Genomic DNA, 23,388 nt, shown 5'->3' with positions numbered 1-23,388 from the left:
CTGCCTCAGCCTCCTGAGTAGCTGGGACTACAGGTGCCTGTCACCACGCCCGGCTGATTTTTTGCATTTTTAGTACAGATGAGGTTTCGCCATGTTGGGCAGGCTGGTCTTGAACTCCTGACCTCAGGTGATCTGCCCGCCTCGGCCTCCCAAAGTGCTGGGATTATAGGCATGGGCCACCATGCCTGGCCATTTTTTTTTTTTTTAAACATGCTTTCAAGTTAATGCTGCTGTTTTAAACCATTTACACCTTGGTATTCTCAGCAGCGATGAAATTAGCATGTGAGTATTGTTATGGAAGCAAAAACAATGTGAGAAATATTACCTAATAAACATTCAGACACAGTATTGAGCACAGTGTGTTACATTATAACTTTTTATTTTCTATTATTTTGTTAATATTTTGCTGTTAAGAATTTAATAACCCTAGATGTAATATGATTTCTTTCACTACAGATGTCCTCCTCGCACTTTCTTACCAGCCCTTTGCAAAATTTTTCTTGATGAAAGTGCTCCAGACAATGTATTAGAGGTGACAGCCCGTGCCATAACATACTACCTGGATGTATCTGCGGAATGTACCCGAAGGATTGTTGGGGTAGATGGAGCTATAAAAGCACTTTGTAATCGTTTGGTTGTAGTTGAACTTAACAACAGGACTAGCAGAGACTTAGCCGAACAGTGTGTAAAGGTAAGTATTACTTATTGGCTCATTACTTATTTTTCTCAGACCTCTCAGGGATGAGTATTGGCTCATTTAAACATCACTTAGAGACTGAAAAATGTATTTACTAAAAAAAAAAAATTTCTAAAAAAAAAAATTCTTCCTATCTTCAGTCTTACTTTATTGAGAGTAGTTGAGAACAGTGGAAATCACAACACTTGTGGCACCAAAGGAGGTTCCATGGGACTTGCGAAAAGAAATCTTATCTTAGAAGGAAAACTGTAGGTGATTGCTATGTTATGTGCTGCTTCAGTGCACTTCAGTTCCTGGTAGTCACTTAGAGATAGGTTATCCCTGTTCTTACCCAAATCATTTTGTATTATAATAGTAACAATCACCACCACAACAAACACCACCCACCAGTGCTAGACATTATTCTAAGCACTTTAAGGTATTAACTCATTTAATCTTCACAGCAACCCTATATGGGATAGGTTGGTGCCAGGAATAGTATTATTATTATTATTATTATTATTGTTTTTGAGACAGTTGCTGTGTCTCCCAGGCTGGGGTGTAGTGGCACGATGTTGACTCACTGCAACCTCCACCTCCCAGTTCCAGCGGTTCTCCTGCCTCAGTCTCCCAAGTAGCTGGGACTACAGGTGCCCACCACCACGCCCGGCTAATTTGTTTTGTATTTTTAGTAGAGATGGAGTTTCACTGTGTTGGCCGGGCTGGTCCTGAACTCCTGACCTTGTGATCCCCCTGCCTTGGCCTCCCAAAGTGCTGGGATTGTAGGTGTCAGCCACCACCCCCAGCCGAATATTATCATTTCTCTGTTACAGATGAAAGAAATTCAAGTATGCTGAGGTTAAGGAACATACTTGGGAGTAGTGAGCAGAAGAGTCAAGACTTGAAGTTTAGGAATTTGAAGATTAGGAAGTTTGGTTCTAGGGCCCAGGGATTTAACTATTTTGCTATATTCCCTGTAAAGTAAGCTGTTGTCTTTATGTAACTCTAAAAGCATTAGTGCTAGATCCATACTTTTTTGGAACTATTTGTGGTGAATACATTGAGATTTTACATGATTTTTTTTTTTTTTTTTTTTTTGAGAGATAGTCTTGCTCTGTCTCCCAGGCTGGAGTGCAGTGGTGCAGTCTCAGCTCACTGCAACCTCTGCCTCCTGGGTTCAAGCGGTTCTCCTGCCTTAGCCTCCTGAGTAGGTGGGACTACAGGCGCGTGCCACCATGCGCGGCTAATTTTTTGTATTTTTAGTAGAGATGGGGTTTCACCATGTTGGCCAGGCTGGTCTCGAACTCCTGACCTCAGGTGATCTACCTGCCTCGGCTTCCCAAAGTGCTGCTGGGATTACAGGCTTGAGTCACTGTGACTGGCCCCTGATTCTTTTTTCTTTTCTTGTTTTTTTTTTTTTTTAATGATTTCTGCTTCATTCTTTTTATAATTTTTGCTGCTTTAGGTCAGCAGTTCTCAAATTTTTTGTCTCAGGATCCCCTTACAAGTCTTAAATAATTGAGGATACCCAAAGAGCTTTTGTTCATATAGGTTTTGTCTATTTATTTACCATATTAGATACTGAAACTGATAAATTTAAAGTATTTATTTATCTTAAAATAAATTAATTACATGTTATACATAACAGGTTAATGAAAAATAACCTTTTTAAATAAACAAAGTTAGTGAGAAGACTGGAATTGTTAGGCATTTTTGCAAGTCTCTTAAGAACACTCTGTTTTTACAGTAGACAGCTGGATCCTCCTGTCTGCTTTTGCATTCAGTCTTGTACAGTATCACATCATGCTTAGCTTCTGGAAAATGCTACCCTAGACTCATGAGAATGATAATGAAAAAGACAAATAGTGTTAGAGTATTATTATGAGCTTTTGCTAAATTACTTGTAGTTCTTTACCTTGCCATACAGATGTCACTTTCTAAACCTGCACTGTCCAATATGGTAGCCAAATAAGTCTATTGAACACTTCAAATGTGGCCACTCCAAATAGAGATGCATTATAAGTATAAAGTATACATGCATTTTTAAAGACTATACATAAAAGACTATAATATATATCAGTAATTTTCTATATTGATTTCATGTTGAAATGATGATGCCTGGATATATTGGGTTAAATAAAAAATATTATTATTATTATTTTTTTTTTTTGAGACAGAGTTTCACTCTTGTTGCCCAGGCTGGAGTGCAGTGGCGCGATCTCGGCTCACGACAACCTCCGCCTCCCAGGTTCAAATGATTCTCCTGCCTCAGCCTCCCGAGTAGCTGGGATTAGAGGCATGCGCCACCATGCCCGGCTAATTTGATATTTTTTAGTAGAGACAGGTTTTCTCCATGTTGGTCAGGCTGGTCTTGGACTCCTGACCTCAAGTGATCCACCCGCCTCGGCCTCCCAACGTGTTGGGATTACAGGCGTGAGCCACCATGCCCAGCTGTTACTATTATTTTTTGAGACAGAGTCTCACTCTCTTGCCCAGGATGGGAATGCAATGGGCGATAATGGCTCACTGCAGCCTTGACCTCCTGGGCTCAAGTGATCCTCTCACCTCAACCTCCTGAGTAGCTGGGACTATAGCACATGCCACTACTATGCCTGGCTAATTTTTTGTATGTTTTGTAGACATCAGGTTTTGCCGTGTTGCCCAGGTTAGTCTTGAACTTCTGGGCTCAAGCGAACTGCCAACCTTGGCCTCCCAAAGTGCTGGGATCACAGGTGTGAGCTACCACACCCATCTAAAATGTATTATTAAAATTAATTTCATTTGTTTCACTTTTCTGTTTTTAATGTGTCACTAATAAATTTGGAGAGCGCATTGTTTCTGTGATTCTTGAAAATCAGGCTTGCATTCTTTCGTTACATTTGTTTTACTATTATAGGTATTAGAACTGATATGTACTCGTGAGTCAGGAGCAGTCTTTGAGGCTGGTGGTTTGAATTGTGTGCTTACCTTCATTCGTGACAGTGGACATCTAGTTCATAAAGACACCTTGCACTCTGCTATGGCTGTGGTATCAAGACTCTGTGGCAAAATGGAGCCTCAAGATTCTTCTTTAGAAATTTGTGTAGAATCTCTGTCTAGTTTATTAAAGCATGAAGATCATCAGGTAAATAAGTTGCTGTTACATACTTTCCATTTTCAGAAAGTGATTTTTTTAGTGTTCCCCTGTTTATAATTATGATAGACTGTAATTTGTGCTTTTCACTTGATGAAATCGAGGTAATTCCATCCTCTTTCTCTAATTTTATCTCTGCATGTGGTAATCTCCATTTTGGGAATGAAACTTTTAAGATTATAAGTGTGATATATGTTTATTCTTAAAATTTAAATATCATAAAAATGTTTTTACAGCTGTACTTGTACTGAGTGTAATTTTGCTGACTTGGTGCAATTTTGTTGACCTGATTTTGTTGACTTAAGATAGATCTCATTTAAATAAGACGGTATTTTTTATTTTTATTATTTTTTTTTTGAGATGGAGTCTTGATCTGTCACCCAGGGTGGAGTGCAGTGGCATGATCTTGGCTCACTGGAACCTCTGCCTCCCGGGTTCAAGCGATTGTCCTGCCTCAGCCTCCCAAGTAGCTGGTACGACAGGTGCCCACCACCACGCCTGGTTAATTTTTGTATTTTTAGTAGAGACAGGGTTTCACCATATTGGCCAGGCTGTTCTTGAACTCCTGACCTTGTGATCTGTCCACCTCAGTCTCCCCAAGTGCTGGGATTACAGGCGTGAGCCACTGTGCCAGGCATAAGACAGTATTTATAATCTTATCTGTAAATCCTTATTGAATTAGCATACTTTAGAAAATAAAACTTGGCTTTTAATGACTTTTTATTGTTCAGATGTTATTTTCAGTTGATATCATAGATTATCATGACAAAGGTACACATAATAATAGTTAATATTTTTGAGCTTTTATTATCCATCTAGATTCTTTATATGTGTTACCTCATTTAAGCTAACACAATGAGATATAGGTACCATTAATATCCCCATTTTACAAATGAGGGAACTGAGGCCTTAAGCAGTTTAAGTAACTTCCTCGGATTACACAGTTAGCAGTATATGGAGCCACGATTCAATAGGCAGATCACATGCTTAATCACTTTGCTGCAGTTGCCTTTCTTATAGTGTCAGTATTGAAATGATCATTACTAACCCTTTTTAGGTGGATTTTATCTGTGGGCATTTTCTTCACATTGTTAGGTTTCAGATGGAGCTCTGCGATGCTTTGCATCACTGGCTGACCGATTTACCCGTCGTGGTGTTGACCCAGCTCCATTAGCCAAGCATGGATTAACTGAGGAGCTGTTATCTCGAATGGCTGCTGCTGGTGGTACTGTTTCAGGACCATCATCAGCATGCAAACCAGGTCGCAGCACCACAGGAGCTCCATCCACCACTGCAGATTCCAAATTGAGTAATCAGGTGTCAACAATTGTAAGTCTGCTCTCAACACTTTGCAGAGGCTCTCCGGTAGTAACACATGTAAGAATGTTTTTGAATCTTTGCTTTTTAATCTTCAGAAAAAGTGTTTTTGTATAATGCTAATATATTAAACATCTTTCTTCCCATTCTCTTTCTAGGATCTTCTGAGGTCGGAGCTTCCAGATTCAATTGAAAGTGCATTGCAGGGTGATGAAAGATGTGTGCTTGATACTATGCGTTTGGTTGACCTTCTCTTGGTGCTATTATTTGAAGGACGAAAAGCTTTGCCAAAGTCTAGTGCTGGATCTACAGGCAGAATCCCAGGACTCCGGAGATTAGATAGTTCTGGGGAGCGCTCACATCGGCAGCTTATAGATTGTATTCGAAGTAAAGATACCGATGCACTTATAGATGCAATTGACACAGGAGGTCAGAAAATATTTTTTTAAATATAAAAAGAAAGTTGTGAGATAACCATATAGGCAGTTTCTAGTTTTCGGACAGTACTCTTAGAAATCCAGATAACAAAGTGGCACCCCTTCGATATTCTCCCCTATCCCTGTGCATAATTATGTAATTATCAGCTTGGTTCTTGGTGAAACCTGAATAAATGCTTGTTGAATGGGTAAAACTTCTATAAAGTTTGAAATTTCTGTTTTATTACCTGAAGGAGATCTTATAAATTCTAAGGTTTTCTCAAGATTGATAGGAACTGATGTGAATGAATTATAATAATGCAGATTTTTTTTGACTGCTACATGAGGTGATGAGCAAATATAATTCCTGAAAGATGCTTCTGGGTCATCAGATTTGTTCTTCTGTGTTCTTTGGATTATGGATGTGGATTAGCCTCTTTTAGCAACTACTACCTTATTTAGTTGTGTATTTAGTATTTTCCTTTGTTATTTCATGTTTATTTTTAAGACTTAAAGCCTTGTGAATCTCCAGTGGTTTAAACATTTTCAAATGTTTTTTCTTTTTTTAGTAGGGGGACAGAGTCTCGCTCTGTTGTGCGGGCTGGAGTGCAGTGGTACAATCTTGGCTCACTGCGTCCTCTGCCTCCTGGGTTTGAGCGATTCTCCTGTCTCAGCCTCCCAAGTAGTTGGGATTACAGGCATGTGCCACCACACCCGCCTAATTTTTGTGTTTTTAGTAGGGATGGGGTTTCACCATGTTGGCCATGCTGGTCTCAAACTCCTGACCTCCTCCCACCTCGGCCTCCCAGAGTGCTGGGATTACAGGCGTGAGCCACGGTGCCTGGACTTAAATACTTTTTCTTAGCTGATCTCAAGTTTGCTGATTATGTACTGCTCTATAGTTGACCTAAATATTTAAAACACTCTCTTGGCTCTTTATTTAGATGATGACTAATGACGATCTTAAAATGGTTCAGTCTTTAGAAAAGTTTAGTATTTTATTGGCTTTAAAAATACGTTTCTTTTTTTTTCCTTCAAAATTTCAGCCTTTGAAGTAAATTTTATGGATGATGTAGGTCAGACTCTATTAAACTGGGCCTCTGCTTTTGGAACTCAGGAAATGGTAAGCTAATAAATAAAAGCTGGTATTTAAATTAAGGATAGAAATATTAATAAAAAGCAGCTTTATGATTCGTTATCATTTTACAGGTAGAATTTCTTTGTGAGAGAGGTGCAGATGTTAATAGAGGTCAAAGGTCATCATCATTACATTATGCTGCATGTTTTGGAAGACCTCAAGTAGCAAAGGTAAAGTCTAGGTTTTAAAATTACTAATTTTTAACATTTACATGGTTTAAAAATTAGAATGATATAAAACCTTTTATTTCCATGCCATCTCCATCCACTTCATTCCCCCTTACTCACTGTAAGTGTTTTTAATTAGTTTTTTCTTTTTAGTGTTTCCTAATACAGATTCAATAAAAACAAATATATATATATGTGTTCCCTCCTTTTCTTATACACTCACCTGTACTTTGTTTTTTTACTTAATAATATAAATTAGAGATCTCTCCCTGTTAGCATGTAGAGAACTTTTTTATATCTGTATGCATATCCTGTACTACAAGTTTATTCAACTAGTCACCTAGTGTTGAACGTGTGATTGTTTCCAATTTGTTACTCTTGGCAATGAATAACTTTGCCTATATTTTCTCTTGTTTGTATTCATCAATAAAATATTCCTTTTCTTTTTTTTTTGAGACAGGGTTTTGCTCTGTCACCCAGGCTGGAGGGCAGTGGCACAGTAGCGACTCACTGCAGCCTTGAATTCCTGTGTTCAAACGATCTCGTGCCTCAGCCTCCCAAGTGGCTGGGATTATAGGCGTGTGCCATCATGCTTGGCTAGTTTTTGTACTTATAGTAGAGACAGGGTTTTGCCATGTTGGCCAGGCTGGTCTCAAACTCCTAGCCTCAAGTGATCCACCTGCTTTGTCCTCCCAAAGTGCTGGGATTATAGGTGTGAGCCACTGCACCCAGCCAAATACTCTGTTTGTAGAAGAATCACTAGACTCAGACTAGCAAAGGACTTTGGGGAGTTATTTTTACAGTTAGAGAAATTGAGGTCCAAAGAGGTTAAATGGAAAGGTTTACATCAAATGTATGAACTAGGTGTCTGTAATCTGCCAATCGTGAAGTTATTTGGTATAGTACGAGGTTAGTCCACTCTGAAGTTGTGCATGCCTGGATTCGAGTCTCAGCTTATGCACAAAAAAGGCTATATGATCTTGGACAATTTATTAAGTTTGTCTATAAAATAAGTATATATTCTTAGCAAGATTATTGTGAGAATTAGAAAAATATATTGTATAGATTTACTGTAGTAATCAGCATATTGCAGGTGCTCAAATGGTAGCTGCTATTATTGTCATCTTTACACTACAACAACATTTTCAATAACAGGTTCGTAGCTTTCTAGCCTGTGAAGGATGGTCTCTTCAAGCCTGAATTCTATTTGTTTGAATTGGTTAGTTTTTAGAGAGAATGATGCTTCTAAGGGTGACTAATACTGAGTGAGCAAAGAAGGTTTTAGAGTTTCCCTTTCAAGTACTTTTAAAGTCAGCTGTTAGCAAAAAAGTTTTTATTGAGCCATTGTGATTAATTAGTCTGGGTATGAAATTATGAAAGGTTTAAGGTGTTAGTGGGTATAGAGGTGGATATATTGATGACTTTTTATTTTTGAAATAGGGTATTGCTCTGTCTCACAGGCTGGAGTGCAGTGGTACAATGATAGCTCATGTAACCTTGAATTCCTGGGCTCAAGTGATCCTCCTGCCTCAGCCTCCGGAGTCACTATAGAACTATAGGCGTGTGCCACCATACTGGCTAATTTTTATTTTTATTTTGTTATTTATGTATTATTTGTAGAGACGAGCTCTCACCATGTTGCCTAGGCTGATCTTGAACTCCTGGCCTCCAGTGATCCTCCGGTGTAGCCTCCCAAAGTGCTGGGATTATAGGCGTGAGCTACCACACCTGGTTGACTTTTTGGTCTAAAATTTAATTTGACTTAACTTGGTAATTGGCAGTATATAGGAGGCGATGTCATTGATTGCCAGATCATAAATTAAACAGTACCTCTCTTTAAAGAAATTGGGAGGCAGAGTTTGATGGAGAAGGTGACATGTTAAGATGGAATATACTTAATTTGAGATGATGATAAATAACCAAGTACAATTAATTCATAAGTTTTTCAAGTTACGATAGGCTGCTTTGTATTGTTTTTTGAGATGGAGTTTCACTCTTGTAGACCAGGCTGGAGTGCAATGGTTCAAGCGATCTTGGCTCACTGTAACCTCTGCCTCCTGGGTTCAAGCGATTCTCCTGCCTCAGCCTCCCAAGTAGCTGGGATTACAGGCATGCGCCACCACACCCGGCTAATTTTGTATTTTTAGTAGAGACGGGGTTTCTCCAGGTTGGTCAGGCTGGCCTTGAACTTCCGTCCTCAGGTGACCCACCCACCTCGGCCTCCCAAAGTGCTGAGATTACAGAATAGGCTGCTTTTAAGGTACTAAGTGCAAAGGCAGAGATATGGATTGCCACCTGCTTGATTAAGTAATTCTGGAAAATCTTTAGTTTACATAGTTGGATGTCAAAGAAATAAAGTATTGTTATATTCAAATTAAATGCTTTTCTTCTCTAGACTCTGTTACGGCATGGTGCAAATCCAGATCTGAGAGATGAAGATGGGAAAACTCCATTAGATAAAGCTCGAGAAAGGGGCCATAGTGAAGTGGTAGCTATTCTTCAGTCTCCAGGTGAGAGCTACATTCTTTCTTTTGAAGCCATCTACTGTTATTTTTCAGCTTTCACTTCCATAGCTTTCTGTAGACACATTAACCTTATATAAATGAACTATTCCTATGAAGTCAAATAATTATATATGTATATCCTTATATTTAATAAACCTGTTTAACAGCTTAATTTTCTATGTTCTTTGAGATTGTGACTGCCTGATTCCAGAATAACCAAAATCTAAAGTTCAAGGAATATGGGAATGTCAGATAAAGAATACTTTGGTATTGTTTAGATAGGTAGTTTGACCAAAAAAAATTTTTTTTTTTTTTTGAGGTGGAATCTTGCTCTGTCGCCCAGGCTGGAGTGCAATGGCGCTATCTCGGCTCACTGCAAGCTCCGCCTCCCGGGTTTACGTCATTCTTCTGCCTCAGCCTCCCTAGTAGCTGGGACTACAGGCACCCGCCACCGTGCCCAGCTAATTTTTTTTGTATTTTTAGTAGAGACGGGGTTTCACCGTGTTAGCCAGGATGGTCTCGATCTCCTGACCTCGTGATCCGCCCGTCTCGGCCTCCCAAAGTGCTGGGATTACAGGCGTGAGCCACTGCTCCCGGCTGACCAAAGTTTTAAGTTTTCAGAGGGTTGATGAATCCAGAAGCTCTGTGAAATAATTTTTGGAACGAAGTGGAGTATCCAAAATTATCTTCTTAATTTGTTATTGAGCACATTGAAGTTACTAGTGCTCTTTAGTATTCTTATAAGCATCATTGAAACAATGTTCTAATTTCAGTGTATTTGTTAATTAGAGATAATTATTATTTGAAGTTGGATATATCTTAAGGTTTTTTTCCTTGAAAGCAAAAGTTTCCAAAAAAGTATTTCTTTAAAAAATATTTGTCTGTAGGTGATTGGATGTGTCCAGTTAATAAAGGAGATGATAAGAAAAAGAAAGATACAAACAAAGATGAAGAAGAATGTAATGAGCCCAAAGGAGATCCGGAAATGGCACCCATATACTTGAAAAGGTTATTGCCAGTGTTTGCACAAACATTTCAGCAAACTATGCTGCCTTCAATAAGGTAGTTATTCATACTATTTGATGTGTTAGTCAAATTACACCAATTATATGGTTTTATTTATCTCCCTTTTCCAGAAGTATTTGAGGTTTATTTTAATGTTAAAAAGGTGTGGTAAGAATAAAATTTAGATGAGAAGTGGGAAAGCCCTATCTTTTCTTCTGACGATCTGAACGAAGAGAAGTTTTAGAAAAGATTACTAGATTCTTAACAAATTTTAGGTAGCTCTCTGAATATTAAATCTCTGTTTGATAAGTATTGCAACCACTTATTGAGCTTTTTAGAAGCCTGTTGGTAGGGACGGTATGAGATGGCCACTGGAGGAGTTATACAGATAAATGAGATTTGGCTCTTGCTTACTCTTCCCCTTGCGGGCTAGTAAGGATGTATGTGGGTAAAACATAGAGTGGTAAATGGTAGATTAGGCACATATTCAGGGTTCTCTGGGAATATAGATAATTTAACAACTAATTGGGCTGGGCAGATTGGAGACAGTTTTATGCAGAGGTGAGATTTAAATTGTGGTTTAAAGGATACTTAGGAGTTTTCTAGGCAGACAGATTTGGAAGCATGAGTGAAGAACAGTATGTGCAAATGCATGAAGGTATGAATCCATCCATCAGGAACTCCTTGTGGCTCTCCCTCTACAGTGTATCCATAGCTTGCTATTTCTTTTCATCTTTTGCTAGTCAGTACTCTGATCCAAACTACCAAAGGGTTTGACCACTGCAGTAGCCTCCTTAGTTAATCATTCTGCTTTTTCTCTCTTGCTCCTTTACAATGTTTGTACATATTAGGCTGAATTATATATGTAGATGTGTGCGTGTATATATATTTTTAATTAACTAATTTTTGAGACAGGGTATCGCTGTCACCTGGGCTGGAGTGCAGTGGCTGGATCACTGCAGCCTTGACTTCCTGGGCTCCAGTGATTCTCCCACCTTAGCCTCCCGAATAGCTGAGACTACAAGTATGCCACCATGACCAGATTGTACTTTTAGTGTAGATGGGGATGCACCACGTTGCCCAGGCTGGTCTCAAACTCCTGGGCTCAAGTGATCGCCCACCTCAGCCTCCCAAGTGCTGGGATTACAGACATGGGCCACTACACCTGACCATATTTATTTTTAGAGACAGGTCTTGCTCTGTCACCCAAGTTGGAGTGTAGTGGCACAATCATAGCTCACTGTAACCTTGAACTCCTGGGCTCCAGCGATCCCCCACCTCAGCCTCTCAAGTAGCTAGGACTACAGATGTATACCGCCTTGCCTGGCTAATTCTTAAATTTTTTGTAGAGACATGGTGTTGCTCTGTTGCCCAGGCTGGTCTTGAACTCTTAGCCTCAAGGGATTTTTCTGCTTTGGCCTCCCAAAGTGTTGGGATTGTAAGTGTGAGCTTCTGCATGCACCTGTCCTGAGAATTATATACATTTTTTTAAAAATTTTTTTTAGAGACAAAGTCTTGCTCTCTTGTCCAGGCTGGAGTGCAGTGGCACAATCACAGCTTACTGCATACTTGAACTCCTGGGCTCAAGGAATCCTCCCACCTCAGCCTGCTGAGTATCTAGGACTACAGGCATGCACTACCACACCAGCTAATGTTTTCATTTTTTTGTGGAGATGAGGTCTGGCCATCTTGCCCAGGCTGGTCTTTAACTCCAGGGCTCAAGCAATCCTCTGGCCTCAGCTTCCTGAAGTGCTGGAATTACAGGCATGAGCTACCGCACTTGGCTTGAGAATTATATCTTTAAATCGTAATTATATCACACGACTGCCTAGTTTGAACCCTTCATAGCTTCTAATTGGCTTTAACAAAAACTCAGCTCCTTAACCCTTAGGCTTGCAAGTTCTTACATAATCCCAACCCAGCTCTCCAACAGAGTACTACCTAACATTTGGCCCATTACACTTACGCTAGCCTTCTTTCTGTTGTGGAACCCTCCAAGTACATCCTTGCCTTAGGGCTTTTGTACTTGTTTGTCATCTGCTTGAAACTTTCTGTCCCTAGATCTTCTGAATGGGTGTTTGCTTCATACCATTCACCTCTCAGTTCAAATGTTACATCCATTGAAGTCTGTCTCCCTGATTTAAATTTACCCCGTTACACTTTTTATATCAATAATGTTTTACTGACTTTACAAAGCTTATGCTATCTTGGCTGGGTGCGGTGGCTCACGCCTGTTATCCCAGCACTTTGGGAGGCCGAGGCAGGTGGATCACTTGAGGCCAGGAGTTTGAGACCAGCCTGGCTAACGTGGCGAAACCCTGTCTCTATGAAAAATAAAAAAATTAGCTGGGTATGGTAGCACTTGGCTGTAGTCCCAGCTACTCGGGAGGGTGAGTCAGGAGAATTGCTTGAACCCATGAGGCGGAGGTTGCAGTGAGCCAAGATTGCGCCACTGCATTCCAGCCTAGGCAACAGAGCAAGACTCCATCTAAAAAAAAAAAGGTTTCACTCTCTGAAATACTGGTTTTTGGGGGGTTTTGTTTGTTTTATTGTCTTGTCTCTTTAAAGTAAGCACCACGAGAGCTGGTCTTATGTACTGCTATATTCCTACAAAGGCAAGGAGATACAGAATAGGGCCTGATCCTTAGGTCCTCAGTAGATATTTACTGAATGATTGAATGAGTGTGTTTTGTTAGCAGTTGCAAGTATTTCAATATTAATGGAGTACAGGATACATTTGGAAAGCTCCGAGAATAATGTTAAGAAAGTAGAGAGGAGCTTTTTATAACCTATGATGGCTTTTGTAGGCCATGTGAAAGAGCGTGGACTCTACCTCACATTTAAGAAGGATTATTAAAGACCTGTAAGGAAAATTTGACACATCTGGATTTCTGTTGATCAAGATCACTTTGACACCCTGGCAGAGAGAAGAACTGGAGGAAGGAGAGAATAGAAACAGACAAGTGTTGATTGAGATAGGAACTTCAGGGCAACTGGATTAGTGAGAACAAATTTAAGAGTTTGGCAGATGGGTTGTATAGGGATTGGTGACCAGTTAGATGGTGGATTGAAGGAAGAAAGGGTGAAAGATGACTGCAGGTTTTTGGCTGAGTAGGAATCTGATTTTGGTCGTTTTCAGTTCAGGAGGTCTGTAGAGCAGGCAGTTTTATAAGATTCAAGTACCTCAAATACCAGTATTATGAGCTGACATTAAAATACAAGCAGTCTGCTTTAAATAGGAGAGAACTGGCCGCAAAATAATTCACTGTGAACATTTAATAGCTTGGTTTTTAATTCTTCCCCAAATAGCTACAGAGGTGTAGGTGTTAGTGGGGTCACTTTTTTTTTTTTTTTTAATTACACAAGACTTGAATCATCTTAAATGAGCAAGTTCAGTTTTGAACAAGATAATTTGGTCTGAAAATTTTAGAGGACCATCTGTTATGCCAGTGCAAGAATCATTCTGGAGTATAAGTGCTTCATGATAAGGCCATCAGAAAATTATAAAGTATGCTACCATGTAACAGAGTTCCCTTATTGGATGGTTATTTTCTTTTATCATTTTAAATGTTTGGAGATATTAGTGTTAGAAAATTTGATGCTAAATTTTCCCAGGTAGTTATTAGCAGACACATTTAATTGTAGCTAGGAAAATAATATATGTCTTAGTTTAAGAACTCATACTCTGGAATCAACTCATTGCACTTTCCTATATGTTTGGCCATGGGCAAAGCACATAACCTCTTAATCAATTGGCTCGTCTCCAAGGTGAGGATAGTTATACTTAATCCTCTTTAGGAGTGAGAATAAAAATTAAATATGTGTGTAGCATAGTGTCTACAATGTTAGAGGTATTTGAAAAGTGATAGTTTATTTTTTGGAATTATTTAGCATTATTAAAAACAAGGGGGAGCACACGGTGGCACGTTTCTGGTCCCAGCTACTTGGGAAGCTGAGGTAGTAGGATCGCTTGAGACCAGCTTAGGCAACATAATGTGACCCTGTCTCGAAAAAACAAGGTGGATTGGTTACAACCTGATATTTTACCAGTTTTTTTGAAGTTTTATCAGATAAGTAAACATAACACTGATTCAGACAGTTAAGAGTGTCCATGTATATTGACATTAGCTATTACCTGTGTAGGCCTGTGCACAGTATCTGTTCAGGAAATAAAAGGCAGACAGCAGATCAGTGAAGGCTTCAAAACAGAGATTGGTAGTATCAGTGGTGGAGTAGTTTGTAAAAGCCTGGTTATTTTCTCTGTAAGATAATTAGACTGAGTACTTCTCCACTTTGTTTTAGAAGAAAGCTACATAGAATTTTGAACAGGTCTGATAAGTAAACATCTTAGGAGTTAGTATAAATAACTGGACAAAGATTGAGTCTCCTTTGCAGCAAACTAGATCTTTATGAGGACCTTTTGAAAAAAAAATTTTTTTTTTGAGACAGAGTCTTGCTCTGTCACCCAGGCTGCAGTGAAGTGGCGTGATCTTGGCTTACTGCAGCCTCCGCCTCCTGGGTTCAAGTGATTATCCTGCCTCAGCCTCCCAGGGGTTTACAGGGATTACAGGCACGCACCACCATGCCCGGCTAATTTTTGTAGTTTTAGTAGAGACGGGGTTTTGCCATGTTGGCCAGCCTGGCCTTAAACTCCTGACCTCAAGTGATCCGCCTGCCTCTGCCTCCTAAAGTGCTGGGATTACAGGAGTGAGCCACTGCGCCTGGCCCTTTAAAAATTAAAAAAAAAGGTTTTAGCTACAGGGTCTCACTGTCGCACAGGCTGGAGTATAGTGGAGTGCTCATAGCTTACGGCAACTTCAAACTCCTGGGCTCAAGGGATTTTCCCAACTCAGCCTCCCAACCACTTGCGACCACAGTTGTGCACCACCACGCCCAGCTAATTCTTTGGGGGAGGAAAGGGGCTCACTCTGTCACCTAGGCTAGAGTGCAGTGGCACAATCTTGGCTCACTGCAGGCTCTGCCTCCCAGGCTCAAGTGATCCTCTCACCTTAGTCTCCCAAGTAGCTGAGACTACAGATGCATGCCACCATGCCTGGCTAAACACCTGGCTAATTAAAATAGTTTTTTTTTTTTTGTAGAGATGAAGTCTTGCTGTGTTGCCCAGACTGGTCTCAAACTCCTGGGCTCAAGCGATCTTCCGACGTCAGCCTCCCAAAGTGTTGGGTTTACAGGCGTGAGCCACCGTGTGTGGTCTGGTTTTCTTTTCTTGCTTTCCGTGTGTGTGTGTGCGCATGTGTGCGTGTGTGTGTGTGTGCGTGTGTGTGTGTGTGTGTCAGGATCTTACCCTGCTGCTCAGGCTGGAGTGCAGTGGCGTGATCTCAGCTCACTGCAGCCTCAGCCTCCTGGGCTCAAGCAGTTCTCTAGCCTCCCAAGTTGCTGATACTACAGGCGAGCACCACCACACCTGACTAATTTTTTTATTTTTTTGTGTGTAAACAAGGTCTTACTATGTTGCCCAGACTGGTCTTGAACTCTTAAGCTCTAGTGATCCTCCCAAAGTGCTAGGTTTACAGGTGTGAGCCACTGCGACTGGCCCAATTTTTTTTTTAAAACAATTTGAGAGAAAAAAGTAGACTTGGTGGGATATAGTGGGAAATTGTTCTTGGGTGAAAACATTAAATAATCTAAAGACATAAATTCTTCTAAAATTAATTTGTAGGTTATGCAGTTCTAAAGGAAATAACTACAGAATTTGTTTTAGAACTTGACAGATCCCAAAGTTCATCTGGAAGAATAAATAGGTGAGATTATTAAAGAAAAATCTGAAATGTTAGTGTAACCCTTTAGCAATGAAATTTTTATGATAACTAGCAGAGTAGTGTGTAAATCAATGGAATAAAATAGTCCCCCCAATAGAGCCAGTTATATATAGGTATTGAATGTATTATAATGGATGTTTCTCAGATCATTCAGGGGAGGGGGTACTATTTATTAAGTGGTACTGGAGTATCTGCTTTGTAGTTTGATTTTAAAAATCACCCTAATCTTTTATCTTATATTTTAAATCTAAACAAATTCTAAGACTTAAAAACTAAAATATTAGGAAAACAAAAAGATAAGATACTTTTTTTCCCTATCCTCCAAAACTTTTTTTTTTTTTTTTGAGACAGTCTTGCTCTGTCACTCAGGTTGGAGTGCAGTAGCATGATCTTGGCTCACTGCAAACCTCTGACTCCCAGGTTCAAGCGATTCTCGTGCCTCAGCCTCCCGAGGAGCTGGGATTAAGGACATGCACCACCATGCCCAGCTAATTTTTGTATTTTGTTAGTAGAGACAGGGTTTCACCATATTGGCCAGGCTGGTCTTGAACTCCTGGCCTCATGTGATCCACCCTTCTCAGCCTCCCAAAGTGTTGGAATTACAGGTGTGAGCCCCTCCAGAACCTCTGAGCAAAAGAAAATATACTTGAATGTTTATCAGACCTTGATAGGAAGAATGGCTTTTTCTTTTTCTTTTTTTTTTTGAGACAGAGTCCTGCTCTGTTGCACAGGCTGGAGTGAAGTGGCGCCATCTCAGCTCCTGAGTAGCTGGGATTACAGGCACACACCACCATGCCCGGCTAATTTTTTTGTGTTTTTAGTAAAAATGGGGTTTTGCCATGTTGGCTGGGCTGGTCTCGAACTCCTCATCTCGGGTGATCTGCCTGCCTTGGCCTCCCAAAGTGCTGGGATTACAGGCGTGATCCACCACACCCAGCCTGGCTTTTTGTTTTTCTTTTTCCTTTCTTTCTTTCTTTTTTTTCTTTTTTTTTTTCTTTTTTTTTGAGACGGGGTGTTGCTGTGTCACCCAGACTGGAGTGCATAGTATGATCACAGCTCACTGCAACCTTGAATTCCATGGCACAGTGTATCCTCTTGCCTCAGCCTCTTGAGTAGCTAGAACTGCAGGCACACACCACCAGGTCCAGCTAATTTTTATTTTTAGAGATAGTTTTGCTTTGCTGCCCAAGGCTGGTCTTGAACTCCCGGGCTTAAGCAGTTCCCCTGCCTTGACCTCCCAAACTGCGGGATTACAGGCGTGAGCCACTATGCCTGGCTTACTTTAGAAACCTATTTGCATTAGCCAAATGTGTCCTTTTAAATTTATTTTATGTAAAAAACATAAAACTACTACATAACAGAAACAATATTACCTGCAGCCACAAATGTCTCAGAATAGAAACTTTTAATCTAAAAAAATTTGCCAGCAGGTGGGTATTTGTTAGCAAATATGACAAAGGGATACTGTCTTTATTATATACAAAGGGTATTTACAAATTGATCGTAAAAATTTCAGAGCCATTTGAGTAAATTAGTCAATGAAATTAAGGCACAGTGTTCAAGAGGAAACACGGCAAAAAATTAATATGGAAAAATGTATTTCCTAGCTGGGTGTGTTAGCTCATGCATGTAATCCCAGCACTTTGGGAGGCTGAGGTGGGAGGATTGCTTGAGTCCAGGAGTTTGAGACCAGCCTGGGCAACTAGTGAAACCCTGTCTCTACAAAACACACAAAAATTAGCTGAGTATGGTGGCGCATACCTGTAGTCCTGGCTACTCGAGAGGCTGAGGTGGGAGGATTGTTTGAGCCTGGGCGGTCGAGGCTGCAGTGAGCTGAGATTGTGCTGCTGCACTCCAGTCTAGATGACAAAGTGAGATGCTGTCTCAAAAAAAAAAAGTATTTCCTTACTAGTAAAAAGCAAAACATTTTAGAAATAAGTAAAATTTGGTATCATTTTTACCTATTAGACAGTTAAGAAACTTAAAAAATGAGAATTTTTTTTAAGTAAAAAGGAATATTGTAGATATTCATATTTAGTGATAATTTAAGGTGTTAACAACCTTTTTTGAATCAGTTTGCCAATATGAATGCAGTACTCATACACATTCAATACTTAATGAAAGTGTTTAGGCTGTTAGATCCAAGAATCCCTCTGTACTGAAGGAATATGAAGAAACTGTTTACACAAAAATAAATAGTGCTATTTTTAATAGAAAAGACTGTAAACTAAATGTTCAAAATTTATATAATAGTGTTAAACAGGAAAATTTTATGTTGTGAGTATTATGTATCATCTAATTAAGAGATAGAATTTGAATACAGGCTCTGTAATTTATTAGCTTGGTGATCTTAGTAGACTGACTTAACTATCGCTCAGTATCTTCACTTGTAAATTTGAGATAATAAAACCCACCTCATAGGTTTTGTTGTGTGGGTTAAATGAATTATGTTTTTAAAGTACATAAAAAGGTTACTGCTCATGATGGCTCAGTATACGAGAGAGAGATAGATAAATAACATATAAACATTCTAATACATTGTTAATTGAAATAAGTCATGATATAAAACTAATAGTTAAATTCTGGTATTTACAGTGGAATATAAATAAAAACTGGGGCCAGTAATAAAAACCGGCGCCAGGCACAGTGACTCATGGCTGTAATCCCAGCACTTCGGGAGGCCGAGTAGGGTGGATCTCCTGAGCACAGGATTTCGAGACCAGCCTGGGCAACGTGGTAAAACCCTGTCTCTACAAAAAATAGAAAAATTAGCTGGGCACGGTGGCAGGAGCCTGTAGTCCGAGCTATTTGGGAGGCTGAGGCACGAGAATCACTTGAACCTGGGAGTCGGAGGTTGCAGTGAGTCAAAATCCTGCCACGCACTCCAGCCTGGGGGACAGAGCAAGACCCTGTCTCAAAAAAAAAAAAAAAATTATGGCCAGGTGCGGTGGCTCACGCCTGTAATCCCAGCGCTTTGGAGGCTGAGGCAGGCAGATCACCTGAGGTCAGGAGTTCAAGATCAGCCTGGCCAACATGATGAAACTCCGTCTCTACTAAAACTACAAAAATTAGCTGGGTGTGGTGGTGCACACCTGTAATCACAACTACTCTGGAGACTGAGACAGGAGAATCACTTGAACCCAGGAGGTGGAGGTTGCAGTGAGCCGAGATCACACCACTGCACTCCAGCCTGGGTGACAGAGCGAGTCTCTGTCCCAAAAAAAATAAATAAATTAAATTAAATTAAAAACAACAAAACAAAAACTGGAAAGAACCAATCCTGTTAGAACAGTTTGTCCTCTGTCCACCTATCATTTTCTGTACTGTACTTGAATTTGTAATAAAGCATATTCCTTCATTAAAGAAATATAATGTTATAACTTCAGCTAGAGAGAGTTATAAAATATGTAGAGACCCTATGCTGTAGAAATACAGCTGTGTCACATGCCTCTCTAGGACATCAGTTGAAAATTTTGCCTCTTTATCCTTCTATCATTCACCTCAAGGGTAATGATATCTGCAGCTTAGTGCCTAGAACATTGTTAGATACTTAGAAAATATTTGTTAAATGAATTGATTATTGGCTCTTACATAATAGACAAGCCTTTTTTTTGTTTGTTTGTTTTTGTTTAAGACAGAGTCTGGCTCTGTCGTCCAGGCTGGAGTGCAGTGGCACGATCTTGGCCTGCTGCAACCTCTGCCTCTAGGGTTCAAGCAATTCTTCTGTCTCAGCCTCCTGAGTAGCTGGGACTACAGATGCCCACCACCATGCCCGGCTAATTTTTGTATTTTTAGTAGAGACGGGGTTTCACCATATTGGTCAGGCTGGTCTCGAACTCCTGACCTCAGGTGATCCACCTGCCTCAGCCTCCCAAAGTGCTGGGATTACAGGTGTGAACCACCTCACCCAGCCAAGCCTCATCTTATTAGTAGTTTATTATCATTTAAATGTATGTGAATATGTGTTTTTTATTTTAAAAGATCAGGTTACATGTTATAAAGTTGAGGTTAATTTGGCCGGGCGTGGTGGCTCACGCCTGTAATCCCAGCACTCTGGGAGGCAGAGGCAGGCGGATCACGAGGTCAGGAGATCAAGACCATCTTGGCTAACACAGTGAAACCCCATCTTTACTAAAAATACAAAAAATACAAAAAGCTGAGCGTGGCGGTGTGCGCCTGTAGTCCCAGCTACTCGGGAGGCTGAGGCAGGAGAATGGCGTGAACCCGGGAGGCGGAGGTTGCAGTGAGCCGAGATTGTGCCACTACACTCCAGCCGAGACAACAGAGCGAGACTCTGTCTCCAAAAAAAAAAAAAAAAAAAAAAAATTGAGGTTAATTTATGTGACTTTATTGAGTGTCTGCTACGGTCTAAGCAAAGCAGTAAGTGAATAAAAGGGAAAGGAGGCATACTAATTTGTTAATGATGGGAATATTTTGGGGGCATGGGATTATTAGGATCTCTTATTTTCATTTATATGAGTCCATAGTTGCAGTGAACGTGGATTTTAAATTTGATGAAGGACAAATTAAATCAAAATTTTGTTTTTCATATAAATTACCTAGTATCTTAAGTTCTTAGAGCATTGTATTTTGGATTATAGGAAATTTTAGGTATAATTTGTATCATTTCTTTTCTTTTTTTAATTTTATTTTGTGTTTTGAGATGGAGTCTCCTTCAGTCTCCCAGGATGGAGTACAGTGGCACCATCTCCTAGGTTCAAGTGATTATTCCGCCTCAGGCTCCTGAGTAGCTGAGATTACAGGTGCCTGCCACCACGTCTAGCTAGTTTTTGTATTTTTAGTAGAGACGGGGTTTCTCCATGTTGGCCAAGCTAGTCTTGAACTCCTGACCTCAAGCGATCCGCCTCCCTCAGCCTCCCAAAATGCAGGGATTACACGCGTGAGCCGCTGCACTGGGCCCCATTTATTTTCTTAGTAGTTGTAGTACTTTTTACTTGATTTTCTAAAATTATCATGACATGTTAACATTCATGCTAGTAAAGTGTAGAATATAGAATAGAAAAGTGCATTTAAGAAAATTATAAGTCATTTTTGGTGAGCTCAATATATTTATAATAGAAAATAAATGGAATTATTTCAAAAATGAACATATAGTGCTGAGTCCCAATTTTTTGTATTTTTTTATTAAGTGTATTTTTTTAGCAGAGTGTATAAAATGTAACATTGGATATTTTACTGTTCATTAATGCATGCATTTTGATTTATTTTAACTTCATTTGGCTTCATATAATTCTATTTTTACTTTTCAAGGAAAGCAAGTCTTGCTCTAATTCGAAAAATGATTCATTTTTGCTCTGAAGCACTGTTAAAAGAAGTTTGTGATTCTGATGTTGGTCACAATTTGCCTACAATACTAGTGGAAATCACTGCAACTGTCCTGGATCAAGAGGTCCGTTTCTTTTTCAAAACTCTTTAGCATTAATTTCCTTTAGCTAGTAGTCTGAAATAAAATTTTTGTTTTAATTTCAGTAAATCATGTTGTGCAAATTACTGCATTTCTCTACTCCTGGCAACTAAACTTATTTTTATTTTTTATTTTTCAGGATGATGATGATGGCCACTTGCTGGCTTTGCAGATCATAAGGGATTTAGTAGATAAAGGTGGTGATATATTTTTGGATCAGCTAGCCAGACTTGGTGTAATTAGCAAAGTGTCAACGTTGGCAGGTCCTTCCTCTGATGATGAGAATGAAGAGGAATCAAAACCAGAAAAAGTGAGTGGTCTTAATTATAGAGGTATCAGGAAGAGTTTTTTTTTTTTTTTTGAGGAAAATCTAGTTTCAATTTTTGATGGTTTTTGACAGGATAATGACAATATGAAATAATTCTGTATATTTTTTAAATTGGTCAATTTTCTTTTAAAACATTTTGATCAACAATTTTAAACATATAGAAATGTTGCAAATATAGTTAAAGAATATCAGAATACTCTCTATCCAAATTCACTAGTTATTAACATTTTGCCCCATTTCCTTTAACATTTTTTCAGACACATGTATCTGTTTGTGTGTGTGTGTGTGTGTGTGTGTGTGTGTGTACTTTTTTTTTGAGATGGAGTTTCGCTCTTGTTGTCCAGGCTGGAGTGCAATGTTGTGATCTCAGCTCACTGCAACCTTCACCTCCCTGGCTAATTTTGTATTTTTAGTAGAGACGGGGTTTCTCCATGTTGGTCAGGCTGGTCTCAAACTCCTGACCTCAGGTAATCTGCCTGCCCTGACCTCCCAAAGGCTGAGGTTGCAGTGAGCCGAGATCGCACCACCGCATTCCAGCCTGGGCGACAGAGTGAGACTCCAGCTTTTTTTTTTTTGAGACAGAGTCTCGCTCTGTCACCCAGGCTGGAGTGCAGTGGCGCGATCTCGGCTCACTGCCAGCTCCGCCTCCTGGGTTCACGCCATTCTCCTGCCTCAGCCTCCCCAGTAGCTGGGACTGCAGACGCCTGCCACCATGCCTGGCTAATTTTTTGTACTTTTAATAGAGACAGGGTTTCACCATGCTAGCCAGGATGGTCTCGATCTCCTGACCTCGTGATCCGCCCGCCTCTGCCTCCCAGAGTGCTGGGATTACAGGCGTGAGCCACCGCACCCGGCCTGAGACTCCATCTTAAAAAAAAAAAAATTGATGGTAAGGTGAATACAGAGTTTTACCTTTTAACCTAAATATTTCACCAGAAAAAAGCCAGGACATAGTTGTAGTATAATTATCAAAATCGTACTAATCAGAAAATTTAATATTTATGTAACACTAATATATTCTCTGGAGACATATTTAGATTTTGCCATTGTCTTTAATGTCCTTCATAGTAATTTTTTTTTCTGGTCCACAATGAAATCCAGGAGCACACATTACATTGCTTATCATATTCCTGAGAACCTGCGATAGTTTGTCCTGAGAACCTACAGCAGTCTGTCAGCCTTCCTTTTATTTTCATAGCTTTGGTGTTTATGAAGAGAATAGAACAGTTAATTTGAACAAAGAGCCTAACTTTGTGTCATGTTTCTTTGTGATTAAATTCAGCTTATGTGTTTTAGCAAAAGTCCTATAGAGGTGATACTATGCTCTTCTAGGTGCATAATGTTCCTTCTTGGAGGCACATTTGTGTCTGTTTACCCTGTTGGTTATGATAACTTGGATCACTTGCTTAAGTTTTTCTCTTCCAGGTTTCTCTACTGTAAAGTTGTAAAGTTGCTCTTTTCCTTTTTTTTTTTTTTTGAGACGGTATCTTGCTCTGTTG

At 39.8% G+C, this 23,388-nt stretch overlaps 1 protein-coding gene across 22 annotated transcripts in view, besides 1 other annotated feature; it reads left to right on the top strand.

Annotated features, from left to right (window-relative positions):
* The window catches only part of HECTD1 (HECT domain E3 ubiquitin protein ligase 1), a 107,677-nt gene that overhangs the window by 29,083 nt on the left and 55,206 nt on the right, over positions 1 to 23,388 (top strand). For 21 of the 22 annotated variants that reach the window (XR_001750215.3, XM_017021153.2, XM_047431208.1 and 18 more), the window contains exons 3-12: positions 457 to 691; positions 3,573 to 3,800; positions 4,905 to 5,186; positions 5,285 to 5,555; positions 6,589 to 6,665; positions 6,752 to 6,850; positions 9,243 to 9,357; positions 10,239 to 10,413; positions 21,408 to 21,546; positions 21,701 to 21,871. Coding sequence is in view for 21 of the 22 variants with exons in the window: in XM_017021153.2 (XP_016876642.1) it covers positions 457 to 691; positions 3,573 to 3,800; positions 4,905 to 5,186; positions 5,285 to 5,555; positions 6,589 to 6,665; positions 6,752 to 6,850; positions 9,243 to 9,357; positions 10,239 to 10,413; positions 21,408 to 21,546; positions 21,701 to 21,871 (1,792 nt within the window). In the remaining variant the exon portion in view is untranslated. Of the gene's footprint in view, positions 1 to 456; positions 692 to 3,572; positions 3,801 to 4,904; positions 5,187 to 5,284; positions 5,556 to 6,588; positions 6,666 to 6,751; positions 6,851 to 9,242; positions 9,358 to 10,238; positions 10,414 to 16,041; positions 16,119 to 21,407; positions 21,547 to 21,700; positions 21,872 to 23,388 lie in introns of those variants that run through there. The other variant, XM_011536622.2, reaches the window with a different exon arrangement.
* Positions 12,614 to 12,908: a silencer, noted in NCBI's record as "tiled region #7641; K562 Repressive non-DNase unmatched - State 16:ElonW". NCBI's record gives its function as "represses a minimal TATA promoter and a strong SV40 promoter by Sharpr-MPRA in K562 cells {active_cell/tissue: K562}" and the evidence as "EXISTENCE:reporter gene assay evidence [ECO:0000049][PMID:27701403]".

This window comes from Homo sapiens, chromosome 14 (genome assembly GCF_000001405.40).
Source record: "Homo sapiens chromosome 14, GRCh38.p14 Primary Assembly".
In the NCBI taxonomy this organism is placed as follows: Eukaryota; Metazoa; Chordata; class Mammalia; order Primates; family Hominidae; genus Homo; species Homo sapiens.
Note: the sequence above shows the minus strand (reverse complement) of the source record. Positions and strands in the feature narration are given on the sequence as shown.